The sequence below is a fragment of the Homo sapiens genome, chromosome 8 (assembly GCF_000001405.40).
Source record: "Homo sapiens chromosome 8, GRCh38.p14 Primary Assembly".
Classification (NCBI taxonomy): Eukaryota; Metazoa; Chordata; class Mammalia; order Primates; family Hominidae; genus Homo; species Homo sapiens.
Genome location: NC_000008.11, coordinates 11,691,528 through 11,716,055, shown reverse-complemented (window position 1 = coordinate 11,716,055; position 24,528 = coordinate 11,691,528). Strand labels below are relative to the sequence as shown.

The following is a 24,528-nucleotide window of genomic DNA, read 5'->3' as shown; positions in this document are numbered from 1 at the left end:
AAGGAAGGAAATTCTGGCACATGCTACAACATGGATGAATCATGAAGACATTATGTTAAATGAAATTAGCCAGAAACAAAACGACAAACACTGTACGATTCTACTTGTGTGAGGTCCCTAGAGTGGTCAAATTCATAAGAAAAAGAAAATAGAATGGGGGTTACCAGGGGCTGGTGTGGAGAGGAATGGGAGTGGTATTTTAATGGGCAGAGTTTAAGTTCTAAAGATCTGATACACAGCAATGCAAAGGTATTTAACACTACTGAACTGTATACTTAAAAGTGGCTAAGATGATTTGAGTTGTTTTTTTTTTCTGAGATGGAGTCTTGCTCTGTCGCCCAGGCTGGAATGCAGTGGTGTGATCTCGGCTCACTGCAACCTCCAACTCCCGGGTTCAAGCAATTCTCCTGCCTCAGCCTCCTGAATAGCTGGGATTACAGGCACGTGCCACCATGCCCAGCTAATTTTTGTATTTTTAGTAGAGACAGGGTTTCACCACATTGGCCAGGCTGGTCTCCTGATCTCACGATCCGCCCGCCTCAGCCTCCCAAAGTGCTAGGATTACAGGTGTGAGCCACTGCACCCAGCCGATGATTTGAAATTTTTACATTAAACTTAACTTTAACTTCCCTGTATGTTAAATGTATTTTCTTGTTATTAAATGGATTAATAAGGCACAGAAATGAGTATAAAAATGATTAAGGTGGTTAAAAAATTCAAAAAGTTCCAAGGCATGCATAGTGAAAGTCCCTTTTCTACCATTATCCCTCACCTACCCGCTTTCCTCCCCACAGGCAAATCTGTGTTACAAATTTTTTGTGAGATTTTGTATTTTCAAGTGAATATAATCTTTTTCTTTCTTTTTTTTAACACAAACAGTAAAGTGCTATATACACTTCCTGCATTTATAAATGTCTTTGTGAGGATTCCATACATTAGATAATGAACTTCATTATTTCTTGCCTACATAGCTTATGGTTTGTATGTGCCACGTGCATAAAAACATTCCCCTAAGGATGCACATTTAGATTATTTCCAATTTTGTTATTACGAGCAATGCTGAAATTAATATGTGCCGGTGTGCTTGTGGAACAAATCCCTAGAAGTGAAAATTCCGGAGTCCAGGCTGTCTACTTTGCAATTTTATGGCTACTACACCTAAGACTCTCCATAAAGGTCAGAGCGATTTACACTCCCACCCACAGGTATCAGAGTTCCTGTTTCCCCACACCTCAGTGTGTTTGTTTTCTTAGTGCATTTAAGTTAGAAAAGAAATGGGGAGGGATACAGAATAAAGCGTTATCTAGAACTGTCTCCCGGGCATCATTCCACCTGAGTGCTTAGAAAGTGCCTAGCAAATGTGGCCTGACCTTTTGATGGGACACAACTGGGCAAGTGACAGGGCTCACTAGAGGTAGTGACACACCCCTGGCCACCCCAACACACCTTTCTTATTTAATTCGTTCTCAGCTTAGCACCACAGACCAACCCCAACTCTGACTGACCTGCTCAGGGTGGTAACCGGAAAGTTAAACAACTTTGGTTTTCCTGAAGATCGACAAATCATTCTCCAGTCTCACAAAGTTCCCTGCACAAATGAACCGGCTTTGAAAGCCACTAGCGTACTTGATAAGCAGGTCCCAAAAGATCCAGAAAACACTTCGGGGTTTTTCACTGACCTGCACCATAAAAAAACTCTGAGAACACCTTGAATGCCCCCACTCCATCCCTAATGGGGCAAAACTTCTTTTAAATAAATTGTTTGAATAACACAGTGATATACTGTACATGTATTTCATTGTGTTGTTATTTTTATCGACTCTAAAAATGATTCAAACTTTTTGAAATCCTTGGAGAATATCATAATTGCTTATGTCTCCATTACACAAAATAATTGTTATTCCATACTTAAATATATTTTCCTAGCCTTTCCAGTAACACCTACCACCATATATCCGTCAAGGCATATTTACAATCTATTTCCATTTCGGTCTCCTTTTCAGCCTTAAGTACTCACAAGCATTAACTGGTATAAAAATCAGCTTCACTGAGGTGTAATGTACATGCAATAAAAGACTCCCATTTTAAGAGCACAGCTCCACAATTTTGCCATATGGAGATACACGTGTAACCACCGTGACTGGGTTCTTTAAAAGGAAACAGCTACGTTCTCCGGCTACGTCCGTTTCACAGGCACATGCAGATCCTATCCTAGCCCTGCAAGGCAAGAACTATCCGCAGAGCTCCACCACAAGTGCTTCCAGCGCCCAGGAGTTTATGATGAAGACAAGCCATATTCTATACTGCATTTCCACACAACCACAATTGTCTAGGAGTGTTCTTCTCACATCTAATATCTGCTCACCTTCACTAACACAGAGTTAAAAGGTCATGGTCTTTTTTTTCTTTTTTTTTTTTGCTTTTCAGAAATTTGGACACAGTCATACTCCATCTTGCTTTCATCCACTCAGTGACTTCTCCAGCCTAAAAGCCCTGCTTTCCTCCAGTGGTTCCCTGAAGTTTCCAGAACCCTCTTCCATCCTGCCCACCGTTCCCCTAGGGCTCTCCAGTTTGCTTCTTAAAGGACTCACGCAGCCATTCTGTGTGGTTGGACCCAGGCAGGGCAGAGTCCTGGGGCAATTACCACCAAGATCCCTACGCAAATATTTGCTAAGTGCCCAACATGTGCCAGGCACTTAAAAATGAGTAAGACTCTGTACCTGCCCTCAGTAAGGTCACATAATTCCATTCATGCAGCCTAATTAATGATTTTAACATTTGTCTTAGGGTCGTAGCTCATATGGAACTTGGAGTGAATTAAAGTTCACATACATTGCAGTCAGGCCACACTTATTTCTTCCAACCTAAGTTCAGGGCTTTACAGAGGCCCCTGTTAACTTTTATTATTTATTATTGTTTTGATTTTTGCCCTATTCACATAACCAACATAAGAACTATGGCAAGATATTGTTAAAACTACAGCAGTTACATAGAAAAAAAAAAGTGTTCTCTTGTTTCTCCTCATTGAAATTAAAAACAGTTTCTGAGTTAAGGTTAATTAGTCTGTATAGTTTTACCTATTGTGACAAATATATTATTTAAATCAAAGGCCAGGTTGCATTGTATTATTTCATGGTACTACACAACATATTAGTAAAGCAGAGTATATCCTTTCTTTTTCTTTTTCTTTTTTTGAGACAGGGTCTTTGCTCTGTTCTCCAGGTAGGAGTACAGTGGTGCAATCACGGCTCACTGCAGCCTCAACCTCCCTGACTCAAGCGATCCTCCCACCTCAGCCTCCTGAGTTGCTGGAGTTATAGGCATGCATTACCATGCCCAGTTAATTTTTTTTTTTTTTTTTTTTTAGAGATGTGGTCTCACTATGTTGTCCAGGTTGGTCTCAAACTCCCGAGCTCAAGCAATCCTCCCACCTCAGCCTCCCAAAGGGTGGGATTACAGGTGTGAGCCACTGCACCTGGCCTCTTTTTCTTTGTCTTTCTTTTTTTTCCTATAAAATGGTCAATATTTCTTTTTTTAAAAAATTGCTGGTTCTTTTCCTGACAAACTCCTACTCACCCTTCAAGACCAAATGAAGCTGGCAGCACTTAAATGACTACTTCCAGAATCTCAGCAGAGGGAAGAATGATGCTGCTTCTCCTTTGCTCTCAGCTGCTTCTCCTCTGCTGTTTCTTCTTTGTTCTCAGCTCATTACCAAACCACAACGATGGGTAATGCACCCATTTTCACATTGAGTGTCCAACAATCTGCGTTCACTGGGGACTGTCCCAGGTTTACCACGAACAATCCCACATTCTGGGAAAACCCTCAGTCCTGGGCACACCAGCAAAATTGGTAACTCTACATGACAGTGAGTGGCTATTCAATAAAATAACCATCATTTATGAAGGGCTAAAGCCAAATTCTTCAAAAGTATTACCTTACTTTTCTAATTTAAGGCAACACTAAAAATTGTTATGATGATCCCATTTTACAGAAAAAGAGGTGAGACCGAGAGAGGTAAGTAACTTGCCCAAGATGACACGAGGCTCCTGGAACTGAATCTAGGTTTGCCCAACTTTAAAACCCTGTGCTCCTCCCACCACACTGTCTGGCCATCTTAGGGCTCAGTGGCAACTCCTCAGAAAGCTGGGGTCAGTTCTCATCTTCCCTCCATGACTCAGGGTCAGCTACTATGTGATGCTGGTCCTCACTAAAGCTGCCAGGCAGGTAGGAGAGCCCAAGTAATGGGAAGAACATATAAAAAGCACATTCACATGCACTGGTTTTTTTTTTTTTTTTTTTTTTTTTGAGAGAGGGTCTCACTCTGTCACCCAGGCTGGAGTGCAGTGGCCTCGGGCTCATGTGAGCCTCCTACCTCAGCTTCCAAAGCTGGGACTACAGGCATGCCACCCCAAGCCTGGCTAATTTTTTAAAATGATTTGTAGGGATGGGGTCTCACTATGTTGCCCAGGCTGACCTCGAACTCCTGGCCTCAAATGATCCTCCTGCCTCAGCCTCCCAAAGTGCTGGGATTACAGGCATGAGCCTCTGCGCCTGGCCACATGCACTGCTTTTAATTTCAGTTGCTTTTATGTAAGTGCCACCTGCATAACACGCTGAAGCTATGAATGCCAACAAGTTCAACATGCCCTGTGTTCCCTCACAGAGAGCCGCACCTCTCCTAAAACACTTGGCTGGGTGCAGAAGAGAAAAACCACCCTCTAGGCCAGATTCAAAGGCTGTGGACTTCATAAGCTATCCGGGAAGAGCCCAGAGAAGGCAGGTGGCAGTTCTTGGCAGAGAGACGCACAGGGAGGTCAGCTTGCCATTTGCTGACATGGGAATTTGGGAAACATCACTTCATCAGCAACCTCTACATGGCATGGCTGACATTTCAAAATCTGAATACTGTGTGCATTCACATGGTATTTCGGTTTTTTGTTTGTTTGTTTTGAGACATACTCCCTCTGTCGCCAGGCCTGGAGTGCAGTGGAGCAATCTCACTCAACCTCCGCCTCCCGGGTTCAACCGATTCTCCTGCCTCAGCCTCCCAAGTAACTGGGACTATAAGCACACACCACCAAACCCAGCTAATTTTTGTATTTTTAGTAGAGATGGGGTTTCACCATGTTGGCCAGGAACTCCTGACCTTGTGATCCGCCTGCCTCGGCCTCCCAAAGTGCTGGGATTACAGGCGTGAGACACCGCGCCCGGCGGGTATTTCGTTTTTACACTGCTGGATGTAACTCATGACTTTTAACTTCTCTCTTTTCCTTAACCAAACACCAAATTCCCTCCAGGATTGTCGGGGTTACAAAGCAAACTCTCCCTGGACCAGTCCTTTTTTTTTTTTTTTTTTTTTTTTTTGAGACGTAGTCTTGTTCTGTTACCAGGCTGGAGTGCAGTGGCGCGATCTCGGCTCACTGCAACTTCTGCCTCCCGGGTTCAAGCGATTCTCCTGCCTCAGCTTCCCCAGTAGCTGAGACTACAGGCGCGCGCCACCACGACCGCTAATTTTTTTTTTTTTTTTTGTATTTTAGTAGAGGCGGGGTTTCAACAGGTTGGCCAGGATGGTCTCGATCTCCTGGCCCAGTCCTCCCTATTTTAAGTCAGAGGCCCCAGAGGGCCCTGGAGAGGACCCCGTAAGCGCGCAAGGCCAGGGCGCCGCGCCCCGCCCCGCACTCCCGCCTGCGGGCTCCATTGTGTGGCCATGTCGCCGCGCTATCTCGCAAAAGTCGCGGCGAGGCTCGGCCGGGCCCCTCCTCCCCTGGGGGTGGCCGTCTGGCTCCCCCAAGAGGGGTGAGGGGGAGGGGAACACCAAGAGCCACAGACCGGGCCTCGGCGCCACTTTCAGGGTTAATCAGTTTGCCGGCGATGTGTATTTGGCTGCACCCCCGGGAACCTTCCCTGGCCACCCAGGGCCAGAGGACAATTTAAAAGCGCTTCAAAGCCTAGGCCCTTCTCGGAGCCAGCCCAAGACTGGAAACCTGGCAGGGGTAGCCTTTACTCTTCAAAGTGAGAACAAATGCAGAAGGATTTAGCACTTAGTAGGTGGTCAATAAACGCGAGCTTTGCTTCTCAAGCCTGGGCTTCCCCTCCCCCACAGGGTGGGCTCAATCCAAACTCACTCCTCCGTCTCTTCCCGAAATTCCAGAGGTCGTTTGCATTTTGAACTAGGGGTTGCCACTTCCCTTTCTCCCCCGGCCCGTGTACTCAGGCCCCTTCTCAGATCCCGCTGCGTTTATTTGTGAATCAGTGGAGGTTGAGACAGGTTTGCCGTCCCTCCCCGTCTGACATCCGATGGAAACACTGCATGGAACCTACCACAACGGTTATTTCCAACCCTGGCCCACGCGAGAAGAGGAGGCTCCACGCGTGCAAGCGACTGCAAAGTCTCCATTTAACTCGGGTGTCATGAACAAGCGCGTTTGAGGTCCCTATGTTCCCGGACACTGACCGGGCGTGTGCGCCCCCCCCCCCGCTGCCCGCATGATGCGCCCACGCGCTCGGCCGGGTGGCACCCGCACAGTGCCGGCTCCTGTTCCGCGCATCTCCCCGGCGTCTCCTTTGTCCATCCCTCCTTTGTTCTCGGTGTGAGACCCCCGACGGGAAAATCATCAGCTACCCCGAGGGATCCTCCAGCTGGGCCGCCAAATGGCCCAGAAGGTCTGCGGTCCAAACCATTGTAATCAGTTCCCTGCGGAGGCCCGAGGGCGGGCGGGGAGGAAAGGGGCGCAGAAACTCAGCAATCTCCAGCACCTTCCACGAGGAAATCCCAGGCCGCTGCCCCCGGCTCTCCAGGGAGCCCGCTGTCCTCCCGCGTCACCCACAGCGCAGCGCGGCCACGGTCGATGTCTGGGATGGCGGGGAGGCCGCACTCCGACCCTGACACCATCTCAGAAGAGGCCCCGGCGGGCAGGCCCGGCCCCTTCCACAGAAGCCGGTCTTCTGGGGCTGTGATGTCGCCAGCCCCGCACTGGCTTCTGCCTTCCCTAGAAACTCGAGGTAGTGAAGCACCATCCCCAGCCCAACGAAGGCGTTGGTGGAAAAACAAGAGGCCCTCGACAGGGCTCAAGACGGCCCCTGCCCCGGCCCTCACGCGCCCCAGCCCTCGCGCTCCTACTCACCGAGATTGGGGTGTCGGGCGGCCGGGTTGGCCCGGCCGGGCAGGCTGTGCAGGACCGGGCTGTCGAAGGGGCCGGCGGAGGCGGCGGCGGCTGCGGCCCAGGACGCGCCCACGTCGGCCATGTAAGCCGGGTAGGGGCTGGAGTAGGAGCCCGCGAAGCCGGCGCGCCCGTACTGCTCGCGGCCCGCCAGGCCCGCACCCGCCGCTCCGCCGCCACTGCTGTAGGCCGCAGCTTCCCGGGCCGCGGCAGCGGCGGCGGCGGCCGCCAGGGACCCGGTGGTCCCCGGGAAGGAGAAGCGCGGCGACACCGGCGGCGGGGTGTAAGCGGCTCCGTCGGCTCCCGCCTGGCTCCATCCCGGGCTGCCCTGCTGGGTCCCGGGCCCCGCACCAGACGCGGCCCCACCGGAGCTGCCGCCCGAGGCGCCTCCGGACGCAGAGCCCGCGCCTCCGCCCTGGAGGTAGGACAGGCCCAGCACGGAGGAGGGCACCCGCGGTGTGGGCACGTAGACTGGCGAGGACGCGGCGCCCGCGCCGTGCATGAAGGCGCCGGGGCCGCCCGCCTCGTAGGCACCGGGGGGCGGCCCGTGGTTGGCGGCCATGGCCAAGCTCTGATACATGGTCCCTGCGAGCTCCCGGCTTCGGTGTCCTCTCTCTCCCTCGCAGGTCAAGGAGCCACGCGGGGAGAGAAAACGACGGCAACAACGATAATATGCGTGGGAGGAACTGTCGCGAAGATCAAAAATCAAAGGGGAAAAAACCAACTCGCTTAAAAATATATACGTATTAAATCCAGCATTGAGCAAAGGGCTCTAGGCTCTTGTTTACTCCGGAAAATCCCAATTTGAATTTTTGGTGGTTCCGGAAGCTGATGTAGGAGCAGCTGAATTCACCCCAGGGCCTGAAGGTCCGGCGCACCTATTGGGGGCAGAAGACGGAGGGCAGCGTCCAGGCCTGGAGGTGGCGCACGAGCCTTCGGGTCCCCCACTCGTCACACCGAGAGGCCTCCAGGACACCCGCGGCCACAGGCGCAGAAGCTGCTAGGCTGGCTCCTTCCTCCTCGCCGCAGCCGGGGTCCTAAAAGAGGAACGACAGAAAGAGAGAGGGTGGTTCATCCCAGAGCTTTCAGAACCCACTCTCCACTTGCGTGGTTGCTTCTTCCACGCTTCAAATGAAGTCGCCACGGGGATTTGGGGGTGCAGCTCCGGAGGCCGCGCGGTGCCGGGAAGCAGGGGCCTTTGTTTTGTCCAGGCGTTGGGTCAGGCGGCCCAGGCAAGCCTGGGGAGAGGCGCCCCAGGGACCAGGGGCTTCCCGGGTCTTTGGTGTGCAGTTATTGGTTGTGATCTTGGTCAATGATTTTTGTATTGCTTGTCAGGAAGGACTTTAATGTTACCTTATTCTGCAAGCATATTTTTGTAAGTCCAAAAGTTTGGCGTTAATGCAGAGTGCCTGGGACCCAAGAAATCTCTCATCTCCTCTGTTCCCCATCTCTCCCCAAGAAAGATGGGGAGACTGGCCTAGAAAGAACTTTAGATTGTCCTTGGGGGGACAAGGACAAACTTTACACAAAACAACAACCTAACAAAGTTTTGTTTGTAATTAAAAAAAAAAAAAACCAGAAGTAGAGTCCAAATGTTTATAAGTGAACAACGGTGTCTGCTAAGCCTCCTGAAGAGGGTTCTGAAACCCTCATCCATACACTAACCATGTGGACGTCAAATCGGACAAGTTACAGGTTTCTTGCAAATAGTTACAATTTAGACGTTTTGCAAATTGTATATCAGAACCAGAAAAGTGAGAAGAATGTACAATGCCGCTCTACAGAATAACCCACTGGACCATTCTAATTCACTGAATGGGTTCTTCATATAGAATAATAAATCCACCCATAAGCAGAATCATAACACCAAGGTGGGTGCTTGGGGAAAGAGCAGTTTGTGGAACTTGATTATATACTTCCCAGCATCCTGCGTTTTGTTATTATCAGGCAATTTTTCTGATAAAATAAGAGCTCCACTTTTTGAATTACCTGCTGTCTGAATTACCTCCAGGTCCTTTTCTCTACAACTCTACTAAGTACAGGTGTCTCTCCTCATTTTACAAGAGGGAACTGGAGCACTGGAAAGTTTTGAAACTTGTCTAAGATCAAAGTACAATCAGAAGGGGTGGGGGAAGGGAATGGGATCAGTAGGGCTCCAGGGGCTTGAAGCTGTCCACCACACTCCATTTCTCTCTTTAAGAAGAGGCAACTACTCCCGACAAAGTTTTCTTTTTTATTTCAATAGTAGATTTACAAGAATGTTAACTATATATGAATCCAGGCTCTGAGACTTACGGAATAAACACCTTTAGACAAATTACTTAGCCTCTCTGTGCCTTAGTTTCCTCATCTGCAAAATGCAGATATTAAAGGTACTTATTTTGTAGAGTCATCGTGAAGCTTAGGAGTGAGGATTATAAATTAATATTTGTAAAACACTTATAACAGATTTTTATAAAACTGTCCTAACAGGCAAAAAGAAAGTTCTAAATAACAGTTGACTATTACTACAGATTTCTAGTATAATACAAGAAAGTACCTCAAATGTATATACTATAATAAATGATCATCTTTATTACTGTAAAAATCTGGAAATGGAATCTTTAATACACACTACATAATGCTTTTCACCATTTTTTGCAACATCACTAGTAATAATAATGGAATAGTACTGTATTGTATTATATAGTCACATGGTAACTCCTAAAAGCTTATTTGCTTTCAAAATATGCAATAACTTATTGGTTTGGCAAATAGTTCATTCCAGCAAGTTTGGTTAGAGAATAGATTTTTTTAAAAATTGACCTGAGGTCACCAACTTTTCCCTTTGAAAATAAAGTTAAAGAATTATGGGTTTACCTTAATAAAAGATCCAGTATTTGACTTTTAAAATCAAGTAGCTGACCTATTTCATTGCATTTTCTGGAATACTCAACTCCTGCAGTTCTTCAAGATAATGTAATTTTTTTTCTTTCATAACTTTGGAAAAGAAAGGAGATTTAGAATTTTATAATCCAACTTCCAGTATACACACAGGTAGTAACTTGCAGACTTTAAAAGGTAAATGCAAAAAATGTCATCAATCTAATATTTGTCTTTATCACATTCTCTGCCTTTTCAAATGGCTGATATAGTGCCTGAGTTGGATTACTAGAACAACAGAAGGTGGAGAAAATACTCCTCTATAACTTTCTGGAAAAACAAGGAATTAGCTGCTCTTGGAAAACGCCTCTGGCTGGTTGTTGAAATTGAGCCTGGATCCTGCAGTTGGCGGAGAAAGCCCAGCAGCTCCCGAGGCTGCCAAAATCGGGGAGTTTTTGCTCTCCTTCTGATCACTTGTCCCAGTTCACCCCAAATTCGCAGGCCAACAGGAAATGCGCTCCCCTTTCAAGAATCAACCAATAGCCCTCTTCCGATCTATTTTTCAGAATGGGAGAATTGCAAGCGCCGAAAAGTCCCCGTCCCTTTATAGGACACTCCTCGCTGGCCTGGGTTTACGCCTCCGCTCTCGGCCTGCAGCGAGGAGGACGGTCGCACGCTAGCCGGCACAACCAAGCCGGCCGCAGCAGGGGAGGAGACACAGACGTGTGCGGAGCATCACCTCCACACCCCAGGCTTTCTTTAAAAGCCTGAAACCTGCTCTCGGTTGTCTTCCTTTTCTGGGAACACAGGAAACACTTCCCCGAGGCGCTTCCCCAACCTCCACGGTGCGGGCCGCGCTGCCCCAGGGATTCCATCGGCCGCGGGTCCCCCACCACGCTCTTTCCCCAGCCAAAAGGCCCCTCCTTTCCTCAACCTGGTGGCAGTCCGCGACCCCGGCACCCCCCTCTGCCCACGGTGACCCCTGAGCCCAAAGCCAAGCGACATAACCCGGCGGATCCGGGCAGCCCCGTGGCCGGCGGAGGGAAGTCACGGCTCCGGTCCGGGCTCGGGCCCTTGGCCAGTTTCAGGTAGAAGCAGCGCGGGCAGGTGGGGTGGTGAGCTTCCAGAGGAGCATTCAGTCCCTGGACCCCAGCCCCGAGGGCGAGGAGGCCGGCCAGAAAGGGCATGAATAGTTCCGCCACTCAGCAGCCTCTCCGCACCTCAGAGCGGCTCCCGGGGGCCCCTGAGGCCCAGCGGAGCTGCCTGGCACTGCCACCCTGCGTCCCCGGAGTCGCTGGTGGGCGACAAGCCTCCGTCTACTTCCCTCCATGTGCGAGCTGCCGTGCAGCCTGTCCCGGGCCCGTCAGTCCCGGTAACTTCACGCGGCCACCATCACCACCCAGGCCCCGGCCTGCGATATGCAAACAAGGGTTGGAGAATGTGCACACGGGGACAGGGATTGAAAGCGTTCAAGTTCACACGGAAAGAATCCAAAGGCGCTTCCAATATTTCTCTGTTTTGCCCCCAAGTCTTACTTTGACTTAAAGAAGTTGCTAAGGCAAAGTCAAAAGCAGAGCAGGGGTTGGGCAATTTCGGTGAAGTGAGTAGCGCACGTCTCTTTTCCTCCCACTAGCTACCTCTCTACCTCCAGACAAGCAAAGGCGGAGAAGCTCCGAGTTTGGGGGACCGCGGGAAGGAGCAAAGAAAGGGAAGAAAAAAGCCCTACCTGCTGGGCCTGGAGGTTCCGCGCACGCTCCCCTGGGAGCCCCCGGAGCTGCAGCGGCGACGAAGCCTCTCGCGGCCCCTGCGCCGGCCGCCTCCAAGTCCCCAGCTCGCGGCTCGGGTCCCCGGCCCAGCAACTCGGCCCTAGGGCGCTGACTGGCCTGTGGGAGTCACGTGCAAGGGCGGGGCGGGGGTGCGCGGCCCCGGCTACACCTCCGCTGGGCGCAGGCTGCGGGACTGTGCGGAAAGCTCCCCCAGCAGGCAAAGTCCAGGCTCTGGGGTCTCCGCGGAAAATGCCCAAGTGCTACCGCCAGGGAGCGGGGAATCACCCGCAACCCAGCCGGAGGTCGATTGGGTTCGCTGTGGTGCCCAGGGTCAGCTTTATTAATGAGTTCCCTTTCTCCCTCCCCGCCCCCCCTTCCTGTGGTCCTCATCCCGCAGCGGCGGGCGAGGGGCGGGGCCAGTAGAGAAGAAGGTGACCTCTTGGGCTCAACTCTCGATCTTGTGTGGGGCACTGGGTCACCCGGGGTGCCCGGCTGGATGCTAGTTCCTGGGCAGGGGTAGTGGGGATCCTCCCAGCCCCGGATTCCTTGGAGGTTCAGGAGACACCCAGACTGCCTCCTAAAATCAGAGCGTAGAGACCGAAGCCTCCCTTTTGCCTTCCCAAAATCCCAGGGAGATGGTCGGGAGCCCAGGCCTCAGCCTCAATTTTATGTATTTATGCAATCTGCATCCCTTCCTGGCGACACTTCCCATCTCCTGTGGCCTCCTCTCTTCTAATCTTTCCCCCTTTTTTCTGCAGCCTGCGGCGGCTCTGCACCAATCCAAGGGACGTGGCAAGGGCTGGGGAGCCAGGCGGTCCAGGGGAGCTTCTTCATGGAGGGGGCTCTTCCAGGGTATGGGGGAGGGGAATGTGTCAGGCCTGAGTTGGGAGTCGGCGTCAGAGCCTGGAGGCCCCAGCGCAGCGGGGCTGCGAGCCGGAGAGTCCCTCAGACAGGTCTAAAGGTTAATAGAGCAATCACAGGGCCCTATTACCGCGTAAAAATAACCCATCGATTACCGCAGCCTTCAGCCCCAGATAACAGCCGGCGGGTGGCTCTCACGCTTTCGGTTAAACTTTTTTTTTTTTTTAAGGCCGCGTTTTTCTCTCCAGCACGGGCTTCTCAAGCCAGATTAGAGGGATGGGGGAAGGGGTCGGGATAACACCCTGCACGAAACCCGTGCTGCTCCGAAAGCAGGCTGGGAACGCCACCCGCTTCCGTAGTAGGAAATCAATCGTGGATTCCCAGCCTGAGTGAAGGCAACCCGGGGGTTAAGGACGAGGCCAGGACGCGGGGCTGGGTAGAAGGAAACCCCCCATGGGATCGTGGCCAACTCCTGGGGATTCTCAGGAAAATCCCAGAGGAAGAAACGAGCGCGGCTGCGCGGGGAATTCTCTTCCCTGAATGAGAGGTGCGGAGGTTCACTGGGGCGCAAACAGAGGAAAGGAAACTGAGGCTGCCTGGGGCGCCGAGCGGCGAAAGGCCTGCGCACAGGCTGGACGCACGGCAGCCGCCCCTCTAGACCCCGGCGGGCCTGCATCCCGGAAGCTGGGGGCGACACACTTAGGGTTTCTTCTCCGACTTCCCCCAATTCCTAGCCTGCTACTTAGCAGAATTGGCGCCACGGACCCGAAACGTGGGAACTTAAGGCTGAAGGGGTGCTGGGGATCTCGGAGGCCGGCGCTGCGGAAAAGCGGTCTCCGGAGCACGCTCCAATCTGCGATCCTTCGGACTCAGCGGAGAAGGAAGCAGACTCCCTGCTCCCGGTTTGAAACCGGCAATCATCTTCGTGGGGGGCGAGCGAGAGAGGCGCGAAGCCAAGGCCTGCGGCAGGGACCTGCAAGGCCTTCCTGGAGAGTGGAAAATCTGGGCTTGGGCGAGCGGGAAGCTATCCCGGCCTTTCTTTTCTCGGAGGAAATCTGTGGCTCCAGCGCTACCCGGGGTCTCAGAGCTGCCTCCCACGCGCGACCCTTAAAGGGCGAAAAGGGCTGAGTCTGGACCGGGCAGTGAATTTTCTTAGCAACAAGCCAGGGGCTTGGGGCTTAGTGTCTGGCGGGGTGCCATCTGACGTCCTCCCCACAGCCAAGGACACAGGCGGCGCTCCTACGCCGGCTTCTCCTAGTAGTGCGGGATGGGCTGCAGCGGGAGGTGCGGTGCCTTGCGGCGATCCTTCACCCTCGCCCTCCCCATCCTCCCTAAACTTCAACCCCCTGCTCTGTACACTGGTGGGGCTATAACAGGCTGTGCTGTGGATGGTGGGGCTATAACAGGCTGTACTGTGGATGGCCGCTGCCACACCGCTGGGTGGGAACGCCTGCTTTTGCTGGGTGCTTGCTTGCAAGGAACCCCAGATTACCTGAGCCGCCGCTTTCTGCCAACCCTGGGCCACCCCTACCACCTCCCACCACCCCCCACCACCCCGGTCCTTTACCCACACCTTCCGCTGGCACTCCTAGTGGACTGAAACCTGGGATCCCCTGACCCAGGAATATTCGCTGTCTCTGGAAGTCGCCTGGGACAGAGAAAATTATGTTTCTTGTGGCTTTTTCCTCTAGGTCCAGCGCCCCAACTTTCTCCCCAAGGCCTCAGCTCAAGGACAAACCAGGGGTGGTTGGCAAACGGCCTGCTTTTTTGGGGGTGTTTCCTTTTCCCTCCTTTCCTCCTTCGCTCTCCGCTCGCCCCCTCCCTCCCTTGGGCCAAGCGGGAGCCTGCAGGTTGGCTGTGCGTTGCCAGGAGCGGGGAGCATTTCAAGGCCTCGCTGGGCCGCCGGCTGGAGGAGGTTTATCGGCGCCTCTCTAGGTTCCCAGGCTTCTCTCTCGCTCCAGAGGCCGCTGGGAAGGGGGGCAGCGGGTGGGTGCTCTGAGGTCCGGCCTCTTGGCTATTTTTAAGGAAGATATGCCTGGGCTGGCCTGGGTAGACAGGCCCAATCCCCATTCAAGTCCTCTCTCGGGTTTCCTTTCCCGTAGTCTAGGAGGAGAATTTAACACTGTGAACGTCTTTGACTTTTTTTTTTTTTTTTTTTTCTAAGAACCTGGGTCTAATGACCCAGTGTCAGGTCGTCAGATTTTAGACAAACAAGAATTACTTAGGTGTACTGTACTCTTTTAAAAAATATCTCCAAGGCAAGAATAAATTGCTTTACCCTGTTCCATTAAGGCTCTTGGGACTTGAGCTGGTCCATACCCCAGAAGAGGCAAATTGTACGCTGCGTATTGTGTACAGAGCAATCTAAACACTGGTTCCCCCCAAAAATAAAAATAAACGGTGGATGCTGGAATTCACAGTGAAGCCACTGATGGTTTTCCAGCGCCGAGTTTCTGCGAGTTTTTGGTGGGACCTGTCCAAGTTTGTTTTAAACCAAGTGCCACGCCTGGGTCCATGATCTTGGCCGCTACACCCGGAACAAAAGCAACATCTGAAAAAATCTGGCGCCACCAAGGTCGCCAGAGTCTTATAATGGAAAACAAGAAACCCCAGAGAGAATCAAACCTCATTCTATGGAACGAATTCCTCCAAGATATGGACGCGCCTCTGCGGCCCTGCCGCGAGGGATCCGGACAGACATTCAAGGTGACCCGCGCAGAACGAATGCCGAGTCCTGCAACACGGCCCTTGGATTCCCCCGCTGGGCCTGGGCGCCGGTCTGCGATACTCCTTCCCTGCGCGGCACTCAGTCCTCACCCGCACGGGCAGCCTGCCCTGCACGAGCCTCCGCGGGCGCAGCGCCGAGAACCAGGGTGCAGAGCAGGATGCGTCCCTGCTGAAGGAAAAATGGAGAACGAATTCAGCTGCAAGGCCACGTCGACCTACCTTCCTTCACTTGCTATGGTCCGTGCCTCGGACACTCTTTCTTGGGGATACGGAGTGGACGTAGAGCCTCCGCCCTGTTCGCCCGGAACCGTGCTCTGCAGCCGGTTACAGACGAGAGGAGAGGAAGGAGCAATCCTTGTTAATGGTCTTGCTTTCGAAATTACTACTCTGGGTTGCAAAGCGAATACATCTTCTCCCTCGTAGACCTCCTCAAATGCTTCCTGGTGCTTCCAGCCCTGAGGACCAGAGTTTCTGGCACACCCTCTCATATTTTATAGTCACTTCCAGATTACAGAACACTTTCAAATCTCATTTTTCTCTAGGGAACAACAATATCATTAGCAAGAGGAAGGGAAAGACGGTGTTATCGCCCTCACCTTAGAAACCAGCACATGGAGGCTCAGAGAGGTTAAGGTACTTGTCTGAGGTGGCAAAGCAAGGGCGAAACTGCAGGTCTAGAACCTGGATTCCTGAATCTTAGTTCTTTTTTTTCCATTCTATTTAATATCGACTTTCTACCATGAAAACGTATTTTTAAAAACTGTCTTTTAAAAATTGTTCTGAGTTTCCTTTAATGAGCATGTTTAACATTTAAAAAATAAAATCAATGTTTAAAAAAGTTTATATCTCATAATCTGAGAGCCCACAGGAAGAGGGAAAAAAGTGGAAAGGAATCTCTGAACATTTTTGCTGAGTTCAGGACGGACACCATAGCCTTTTTGAATAGGGAGGGGCTCTTCAGGTCCAGCGTAGCTGAGGCTAGGACTGAAGCCTGGTCCAGTGCCTGCAAGTCCAGGCAGGGGCCCCAGCAGGTTGAGGAGCGCCAGCGCTGGAGGCGCAGTGGCCACGCAGGCGCCGCCATGTATGTTTCTTTTCCTGCTGCCAACCTGGCTCCCTCTCTCCCTCCCCATCCAAGGACCTGGAGACAATGGCAGCCTGAAAGAGCTGCTAACACCTACTGCCCAGGCCACCCACCACCCAGAACATAGGGAGTCTGGTTCCCAGACTGGAGGTTCTTTGAGTCTGTAAGGGGCCCTTTCTTCGGGGATTGCCTCCTCTGAGATCTCTCTTGGTGACACAGGCCCCAATTCTTTCACATATGGGGCTTTGCTACTCCCCAGTTAGAGACTTTTGAAGTCACAGTGTTGTTTGTGCTGAGCCCAGAGCAAGACCAGGGTTAACATCCCTGGACTAGTAAAATGATCTTGTGCTTTATTCACTTGTCCATGCCCCCTGAAGTTATAAAGTAATTTATATGGGGTTGGCTGTCCACACACATGCACCGATCACCTCCCTTCTACACCCCCAAAAGGTATGCTCTGTGAATGCAGTGATCAAAATCCTGGTCTGCCCAAAGCAAGGATTACAGTAGGTGCTCAATAAGTGTTGGGTGAATGATTAAAATTTTAAAAAGGGCTGTTAATAACATCCATCAAAGTTGCTCGGAGATGGAGAATGAAACATTCCCCTCAAGGGACCTGGTGCACTGGTGGGCAGGACTGCCATTTCTCAGAGTAGAATACTGGCCAGAAGTGGAGGGAGGGGCCCAGCCTGGGTGGCACAAATCTCCCTGGTGGCTTCATCTGCCTGTGGAGCTGCTATCGCCTACAAACCACCAGCTCAAATCTAGGCTGCTCCTAAGGACACCCCGGGGTCCCCAGGTCCTGGGGACTGCAGGAAGAAGGGACTTCCCTGTGCACAGCCAGGATTTGGGAAGTTGAGCTGGGAACCTGGCCAGATGCTTAGGCTGTTAGACTGGCGAGGGAGTCCCCGGGCCTCCGGGGATGAAGGCTGACCAGAAGCCAGGGGCACCCTTTCTGAGGCATAGGGAGCCCAACCCATAAATCCTGGAAGGATGGAGAGACCAAGTCAGCCGGATAGAGGAAAAAATGCAGGGTGAGGAGTGGAGGAGGAGAAACAAGAGAAGGGAGAGAAAAGCGAGAGAGACAGAGGAGGACAGGCAGAGACCAGGGCAGAGAGAAATGACTGGCCAGCAGCAGAGAGGGAGAGATGGGGATTCATTCACTCATGCATTCACTCACTCACCCACTCATTCATTTCCCATTGACTGAGCACCTTCTCTGTGCCAGGAATACTACAGGCATGAGTACTCAGCATGGAACAAAGTAGAGAAGAATTCTATCCTAAGCAGCTTACATGCTGTAAGAGAAAAACGGACAATAAGTAAGTCAAATACAGTGTTGAATGATGAAATATTATGGAAAAACCAAAGCAGGCAATGGACGGGCAGAGAGAGCAGAGACAGAGAAAGGAGAGAGACCACAGACCCTGGGAAGTTAAGGCGAGCTGGGAGTCAAGAGACTTGGCGACGCAGAGAGAGGCCAGGACCTCCTGGGAGAGGACGGACGCCAGAAAGCGGCCGGGCCTGGGTGGGAGGAGAGAGAACCCGACCGGGACGAGGTCAACCCAGAGTCCAGGGCTCCTCTTGCCCAGCTCCCGGGGAGGACAGTGGTTATGGTAGGGACACCCGCGGCTGGAGCGCCGCCAGGCCCAAGACCTCAACGCGCACATCAGGGGACTGGTGGGTCCCCCAGAGATCTGGCATTCCCTGAGCCAGCTCGGCCCGTTTCCGCAAAGGCCGCTCCCTCCTCCGCCCCGTGGTGGCCGGAACGCCCCACCGGCCCGGCACCCTTGCCCTCGCCCCGAGGTGACCCGGAGTTGGAGAAGACGCCCAGGCAGGCGCCGCGACCTGGCGCGGCGAGCAGAGACAGGAAAGTGTCAAGGAAGCGCGAAGCCCAAGTGCGAAAACAGCCTCTGGTCCGCAGGCGCGAAGACCCGGGGTCCTCTGAAAGGGGGGCTGTGCTGGGGCCGGAGGCCCGGCCGTCCGGCCATCCTCGGCGCAGGCGAGGACCCCTTCAGACAGACCAGGCTTCCCTGGCGGTGGAGGGGAAAGTGGCCTCCACGACCACCTCTCCCTCCCCAACTGCAGCAGGTGCCCACCGAGAGCGCTGCTCCCCTCCGAACACCGCTTCCCCAGCTGGGAGGTTCCTATTGTTAGAAATCATCGGTTTCTTGTAACAACAGTCTCAAGAAAGGGGAGGCACGGAGCTTGGAATAGCTAGATAGTCCTTGTTCTGTCAAAGGGTGTTCACTGTGTTCTGAACGGAATGGATTTTAAAGAAGAACCTCCCACTCCATTTCTTTGCGGCTGGTTTCCACTCATCCCCCTCGTTAGTCCTGTGCGTGTGTTTGACAGAAGGACAGGGGCTCTCCGGTTAGAGTGGGACTTCTGGTGCTGCCCCCTGTTCTGCAGCAGAGGTGCTAATGAACAGCAAGTTGCCAAAGGGCAAGGAAGTGAAGAGAGAAAATCCAAGGTGCAAAGGGGCGCAGTGAAATGGAGCCCTCCGCACCTAGGTGGAGGGCACTGGCAGGATGTCACTCAGGAAGGTGCAGAGCTATCCCGACCTCATCGCCTCCTCCCTCCCCTATTTCACACCATCTCCCCGGGGGGCCTCCGCCAGTGAGGGGCAAAGTCCACCCCTCCCCCAGGAAGTCTCTGCAGATGCCCAGTTCCAGGGGCCCACACTCTCCCTGAGCAGATGGGTAGGCTCAGGGGCTGGTGGGCTCAGAACAGGTAGAGTAAATGAAAGACTTACTTGCCACCTCAGTTTCTCAATCACCCTGTGAGCACTCTGTCTTTGCTGCACCTCTGAAGCTCTGAATTCATATCTTTCTTTCCACACGTCCAATGCAGATGCACACACCCCTCCATACACCACTTTTTGTCAGGGATTGTGACGTCCTCACCCCAGTCTTTGAACATGCCCCAGCAGATATACTATTTGCAATGAGCTTCAGGACAAGAAGAGCTAAATATAAGTTGTGTTTTAAACTTTAAACTCTAAAGTAGTATTGTTGTTATTTTCAAAACCTACAGCTTTATTCATAATTGCCCCAAACGGGAAACCACTCAAATGATCCTTAAGCAGGGGAATAGGTAAACTGAGGTACATCCATACAATGGAATACTACTCAGTAACAAACAGGAATGAACAACAAACACCCCAGCAACACTAATGAATCTCGAATGCATTCAGCTAAGTAAAAGAATATTCAAAAGATGATAGACAAAATCCATTTTCTATGACATTCTGAAGAAGACAGAACAATAGGGGCTGAAAACAGATCAGAGGTTGCCAGGGGCTGAGGAGGGGGAAGAGTTGACTGTAGAGGGGGAGGAAGAAATTTGGAGGGGCGCTGGGACTATTCTCATATCTTGTGATGGTGGTCACACAATTTGTGTGTATGTCAAGACTCTGAAAACTGTACACTAAAAGGAGTGAATTTACTGTATATAAGTTGCACTTCAATAAATCTGGCTTTGAAAAAAGCAGAAGGAAAAAGAGCACAGGTGGAGCAGGATAAGACTCTTCAGCTCCCATTCTCTCCAGCCCCATCCTGTCTTTAGTGCGAGTCCACATCCCTGGTACACGTTTGACTCCCATCTAAAATATGTTAGAAAAGTGATTTCTATACAAAAGAAAGCCTTGCATTTCTTTTTAAAGGATCATTTTTCAAGGTTGGTCCTCCCTATTGCTCATCCTCAGTCCACAGGAATGGCCACAGTGGTCCATCCTGGGTACAGCTCCAGTGCCTATCTTGAGCATGTATGGCACAAACATACGAGCGCCGGTGCACTCATGTTTTTGGGCAGGCTGCAGGAAGGGTGACGTCAGAGTGAGGGTTATCCTCCTCTCACATCCTGAAGGTCTTGAAGCCAAACAGCAGAAGCTCAGGGATTGCTAAGTCCCTTTCAACAACCTGATGGCTGCCTGGGAGAGGGTGATGGGAAGCGGAGAGAACCAGTCAGTCCTTGGAAACTGAGTTTGGTCCAGGTGTTCCCCTGAGGCAAGGGTAAGCCAAGGACTGGCCTTGAAAGAGAAACGCTTTGGCCCCTTGAGCGTAGGACTGTATTTCTGAATGGACTAAGGGAAAAGCAGTCAGTGAAACATGGCCTTTTCTGTACAAGATGATATCGTTCTGCAGAACCCATTACTCTGGCTCTTATTTATTTTATTTATTTTTTTTTTGAGATGGAGTTTCACTCTTGGTGCCCAGGCTGGAGTGCAAAGGCGCGATCTTGGCTCACCGCAACCTCTGCCTCCCGGGTTCAAGCCATTCTCCTGCCTCAGCCTCCCAAGTTGCTGGGATTACAGGCATGTGCCACCATGCCCGGCTAATTTTTGTATTTTTAATAGAGACGGGGTTTCTCCATGTTGGTCAGGCTGGTCTCGAACTCCCAGCCTCAGGTGATCCACCCCTCTCGGCCTCCCAAAGTGCTGGGATTAAAGGAGTGAGCCACCGCGCCCCCAGCCTCTGGCTGTCATTCTTAAGTCAATTTCCATTACGCTCAGTTGCAGGTCACGATGTTCACATGGATGGGCTACCATCAGGGCGCAAGGTAGCAGGATGAAAGTGCTCTGTGCCAGATAAAACCACACTCTGGACTTGTATATACAGCAATTATAGTCTAGTGGACATCACACAAGAGCCCAAAGCCACTGACTGCCTGGGCCACAGGATGTCTTTGCTACCCTTGCTCTTCAATAAAAGTGAGGTGTGTGTGTGAGTGAGAGAGAGACAGAGAGAGAGAGAGGAGAGAGATTGTTTCTACCTCTTCCCAGAGTTCTTGATAATATGATTGTTTCTAACTCCAGTCATACCTCTGTGATCATGGAAGAAAAATGGATGTTAAGACTGGCAGACACCCACTGGTCACTGATTTTAATTTCGTCATTTGAATTTGAATTTAAAATCCAACACCACCAACACTAAGAAAACAACACCATGAACAAAAACAAAACAATCCCCCACAAAATATTGTGTTTCCTCTTAGGAACAAAGCAGACAGTTTGGCTTCCATGATCTTCTCTGTCCCTCACCCTGGGAGAGCTTGCTAATTAAGCAGCAGAGGAACCAAAAGGTGGCAAGGGAAAGAAGTGATGAGGATGCAGTCCACGGCTCGGAGAGCTGGTGGCAGCGCAATGTTCTGGGGGAAGAAAAGAAAGGATCCCTGAGGGCCACGCCAGCTCTGACCTTACAGAGGAAGGCCTTGAGTGAAACAGGCAACGGTTCAATGGGGCAATGCTGGGAGCCTCAGTCTCCCTCTTATGAAATGAGATTGGACACCTGATCTGTGAGTTCTTTCAGCCTACAAGCCCTCTGATCCAGAATTATTCGAATTCCCTCATAAGAGCTACAATTCACAAAGCAAACATTTATTGAATGTTTACTATGTGCCAGGCATCATGCAAACTTGTAGATACAAGGATGAACACAAGTTTCTACCCGCAAACCGGAGAACAAAAGCGTCCTGCAGACAGGAGCAGGAGTGAGCGCTGGCAGACACGAGCAGGAAGGGGGACCCACGGCACCTCCTTGGGGAAAAGGGCAGGTGGGAGACGACCTAAATGAATTCAAGGAACACATTGCTTTTAATGTAGAGGTGTTCCCCCCTCTCTTTTACCTAGTACTCTTTCTGGACCTCAACACACACACACATGCACACACATGCACACAGACGCACACACAGGCTGTGGCCTGAGTTGGGGGACAGAATGCCTGCGGACTCTGTGCTGTTCATGCACTGACACCCACACCCATAACCTATGACTTGGCCCTTTTCACACATTCGATGCCAAACACTCATATCGATCCTGGACCTGCGGAGTGCCCATTTGGAGGGCACAAGGGCTGGGAGTGGGGGTAGGGCAAGAGATGCAGGCCCCAGTATAGTTTCCATCACCTCCTCCTGGTGTGGCCTCAGGCACGCCAGCCGCCCACTCTGGCCCTCGGTCTCCTCATCTGTGAAATGCACCGGTTGTGCTGAATCAATCCTCTGTCTCTCTCTCTCTCTCTCTCTCTCTCTCTCTCTGTGTGTGTGTGTGTGTGTGTGTGTGTGTGTGTGTGTGTGTTTGTGCTGAATCAATCCTCTTTTTTTCTCTCTCTCTCTCTCTCTTCTTTCTCCCTTTCTCTCTTTCTCCACAGGGTCTCACTCTGTCACCAGGCTGGACTGCAGTGGTGCGATCTCAGCTCACTGCAGCCTCTACCTCCCCAGGCTCACATCTTCCCACCTCAGCCTCCCCAGCAGGACCACAGGCGCGCGCCACGACGCCTGGCTAATTTTATTTTTTCGTAGAGATGGAGTTTCGCCATGGTGCCCAGGCTGGTCTCTATCTGCTGGGCTCAAGCGATCCTGCCGCCTCTGCCTCACTAAGTGCTGGGATTACAAATATGCGCCACCGCGCCCAGCTTGCCGAATCATTTCTAAGCTTCCTTACAGCTCTTTAGGAACAAATGAACACCACATCGTTAACAGACACTGGGATTAAGAAGTGGAATAAAGCCATGTATTTGTTGCCGGGTAGAAAAACGCTGCCGGCCCACTCCACGCAGAGGCCCCGCAGGCGCTGGCAGAAGCCTCGGTGCGCGGCCGGGGGTGCAGCCCGGGTGATGGATGGCCGCGGGGCCGGCGCCTGGCAGGCCTTATTGATGAGGTGCGCGCTGACGGCCGCCGCGGAACCCCAGGCGGCTGGAGGCGAGCGCGGGGCGGCGGGCGGCGCAAACTCGGCGGCGCTCGGGGTCAGCCCCCGGCCGGCCGCCCCCGCCTCTGCCCGGCCTGGCGCCCGCTGCGCCGGCCCCGCTTCCTCCCCTCGGCAGCCTCGCTTCCCGCCCCCCGTCCGTCCGCGCCCTCGCGTGGGTCCCGGCGCCTGCTCTCCCTCCCAGCCTCCCGACGGAGCAGCCCCGCACCCCTCACCCCCGCACCCCCGCACGCACCCGCGGTGGAGGTCGGCTGAGGCGCAGAGGCCGCGGGTCCCCAGAAGCCGGTTCCCGCCCCAGCGCGGGGGCCACGCCCTCCCAGGCGGAGCCGCCGCGGCCCGAAGGATCAGATTCAATCTAGATCCGCATGAGCATAGTTTCACGGGAATTACTCACGCTGTGCACGGGAGGAGAAAATTCAGGACACCGGTCAATATTCTATTAGGGTTCATTCGAATTATATAGTGATAGATAAGATAGGTAGAGAAATCAACGTAAATACACCTGCGTATAAAGACGGCGAGGTCTTGCGTGAAATTTTTTGTACGTTTCTAATGTTCTCATGGAGCAAGTGTTCTTTTATAACAGCACACACTGTCATTGCTGTGCTTGAAAAGGTGTGATGGAGCTTAGTTCATTCTCCACCCCTGCGCTCAGTTTCCCCCAGTTCCACCTTCCTCCCTCTGGTTGTTGCCTCGTTTTTCTTCTCTTGCCTTTGGGGAAGTAGGAGTGAGGCTGCTGGGCTGTTACCTGAGGCCATTAGGCTGGAGAACAGGTGGCCCGAGCTCCTGCCTGCCTCACCTGTCACCTTCCCTTTCTACGGAAAGCACCCACGGCCACCTCTGTTGGTGACACTAAGGTGAGGATCATGAACAGATCCCCTGCGAAGCAGTCTCCCTGAATGAGAATTAAAGGAGAAAGTCAACATTGTAAGCAACATGGAGCATTTATGGTCTGAAGTGGTTTTTGATTTTTTTTTTTTCTTCCCTCTTTGAGTTGAGAGCTAGCCCTGGACTGGGAAAGGTCCTAAATTCTTCCTTAGATGTGCCTTAAGTACTGGGAAACAGGTAGTCTTTTGTTTGGGGCGCCATAGAAAGAGGAGGGAGGGACCCCAGGTTGCTGTGGCCTGAGTGTCAGTGTAGAGCGAAGCTTAGGCCTCGAGGATCTGGATCTAGTTGAGGCTGGAGGGAGCTCCTTGGTCTGGGAGTCAGGATTCCCGGATTCTAATCCCACGACTGCCACCAGAGGACTGCCATGCCCACAGGCGAGTCACTTAACTTTCTAAGCCTTAGTTTTCTGTCCATAAAATGAAGAGACTACTAAACTGTCTCCCAGGTTCCTTCCTATCCCAACATTTTGTGACTTTAAGC

General features: G+C 52.0%; 1 protein-coding gene and 1 non-coding gene across 6 annotated transcripts in view, besides 6 other annotated features; both read right to left on the bottom strand.

Annotated features, from left to right (window-relative positions):
- GATA4 (GATA binding protein 4) overlaps positions 1-24,528 on the bottom strand; it is an 83,068-nt gene that overhangs the window by 43,947 nt on the left and 14,593 nt on the right. For 2 of the 5 annotated variants that reach the window (NM_001308093.3, NM_002052.5), the window contains exons 1-2: positions 11,752-11,854; positions 7,128-8,200 (exon numbers count right to left, since the gene is read on the bottom strand). In NM_001308093.3, coding sequence (NP_001295022.1) covers positions 7,128-7,743 — 616 coding nt within the window. In that variant the 5' untranslated portion in view covers positions 7,744-8,200; positions 11,752-11,854. Of the gene's footprint in view, positions 1-7,127; positions 8,201-11,751; positions 11,855-15,277; positions 15,546-24,528 lie in introns of those variants that run through there. The other 3 variants (NM_001374274.1, NM_001308094.2, NM_001374273.1) reach the window with 3 other exon arrangements.
- Positions 5,151-6,074: an enhancer, noted in NCBI's record as "OCT4-NANOG-H3K27ac-H3K4me1 hESC enhancer chr8:11567491-11568414 (GRCh37/hg19 assembly coordinates)". NCBI's record gives its function as "activates a minimal SCP1, AML or CMV promoter by ChIP-STARR-seq in naive H9 embryonic stem cells {active_cell/tissue: H9 hESC(naive)}" and the evidence as "EXISTENCE:reporter gene assay evidence [ECO:0000049][PMID:30033119]".
- Positions 6,075-7,000: an enhancer, noted in NCBI's record as "OCT4-NANOG-H3K27ac-H3K4me1 hESC enhancer chr8:11566565-11567490 (GRCh37/hg19 assembly coordinates)". NCBI's record gives its function as "activates a minimal SCP1, AML or CMV promoter by ChIP-STARR-seq in primed H9 embryonic stem cells {active_cell/tissue: H9 hESC(primed)}" and the evidence as "EXISTENCE:reporter gene assay evidence [ECO:0000049][PMID:30033119]".
- Positions 10,498-10,694, bottom strand: SNORA99 (small nucleolar RNA, H/ACA box 99). The gene has a single exon (NR_132779.1). It is a non-coding gene; the product is annotated as a small nucleolar RNA, H/ACA box 99 (small nucleolar RNA).
- Positions 11,773-11,822: a silencer, noted in NCBI's record as "silent region_18936". NCBI's record gives its function as "represses an Ori minimal core promoter by ATAC-STARR-seq in GM12878 lymphoblastoid cells {active_cell/tissue: GM12878}" and the evidence as "EXISTENCE:reporter gene assay evidence [ECO:0000049][PMID:35858748]".
- Positions 12,559-16,250: an enhancer, noted in NCBI's record as "VISTA enhancer hs2204". NCBI's record gives its function as "enhancer in: heart[5/14]" and the evidence as "EXISTENCE:transgenic organism evidence [ECO:0001131][PMID:17130149]".
- Positions 12,582-12,876: an enhancer, noted in NCBI's record as "tiled region #9827; HepG2 Activating DNase matched - State 1:Tss". NCBI's record gives its function as "activates a minimal TATA promoter and a strong SV40 promoter by Sharpr-MPRA in HepG2 cells {active_cell/tissue: HepG2}" and the evidence as "EXISTENCE:reporter gene assay evidence [ECO:0000049][PMID:27701403]".
- Positions 12,582-12,876: a silencer, noted in NCBI's record as "tiled region #9827; K562 Repressive non-DNase unmatched - State 20:ReprD". NCBI's record gives its function as "represses a minimal TATA promoter and a strong SV40 promoter by Sharpr-MPRA in K562 cells {active_cell/tissue: K562}" and the evidence as "EXISTENCE:reporter gene assay evidence [ECO:0000049][PMID:27701403]".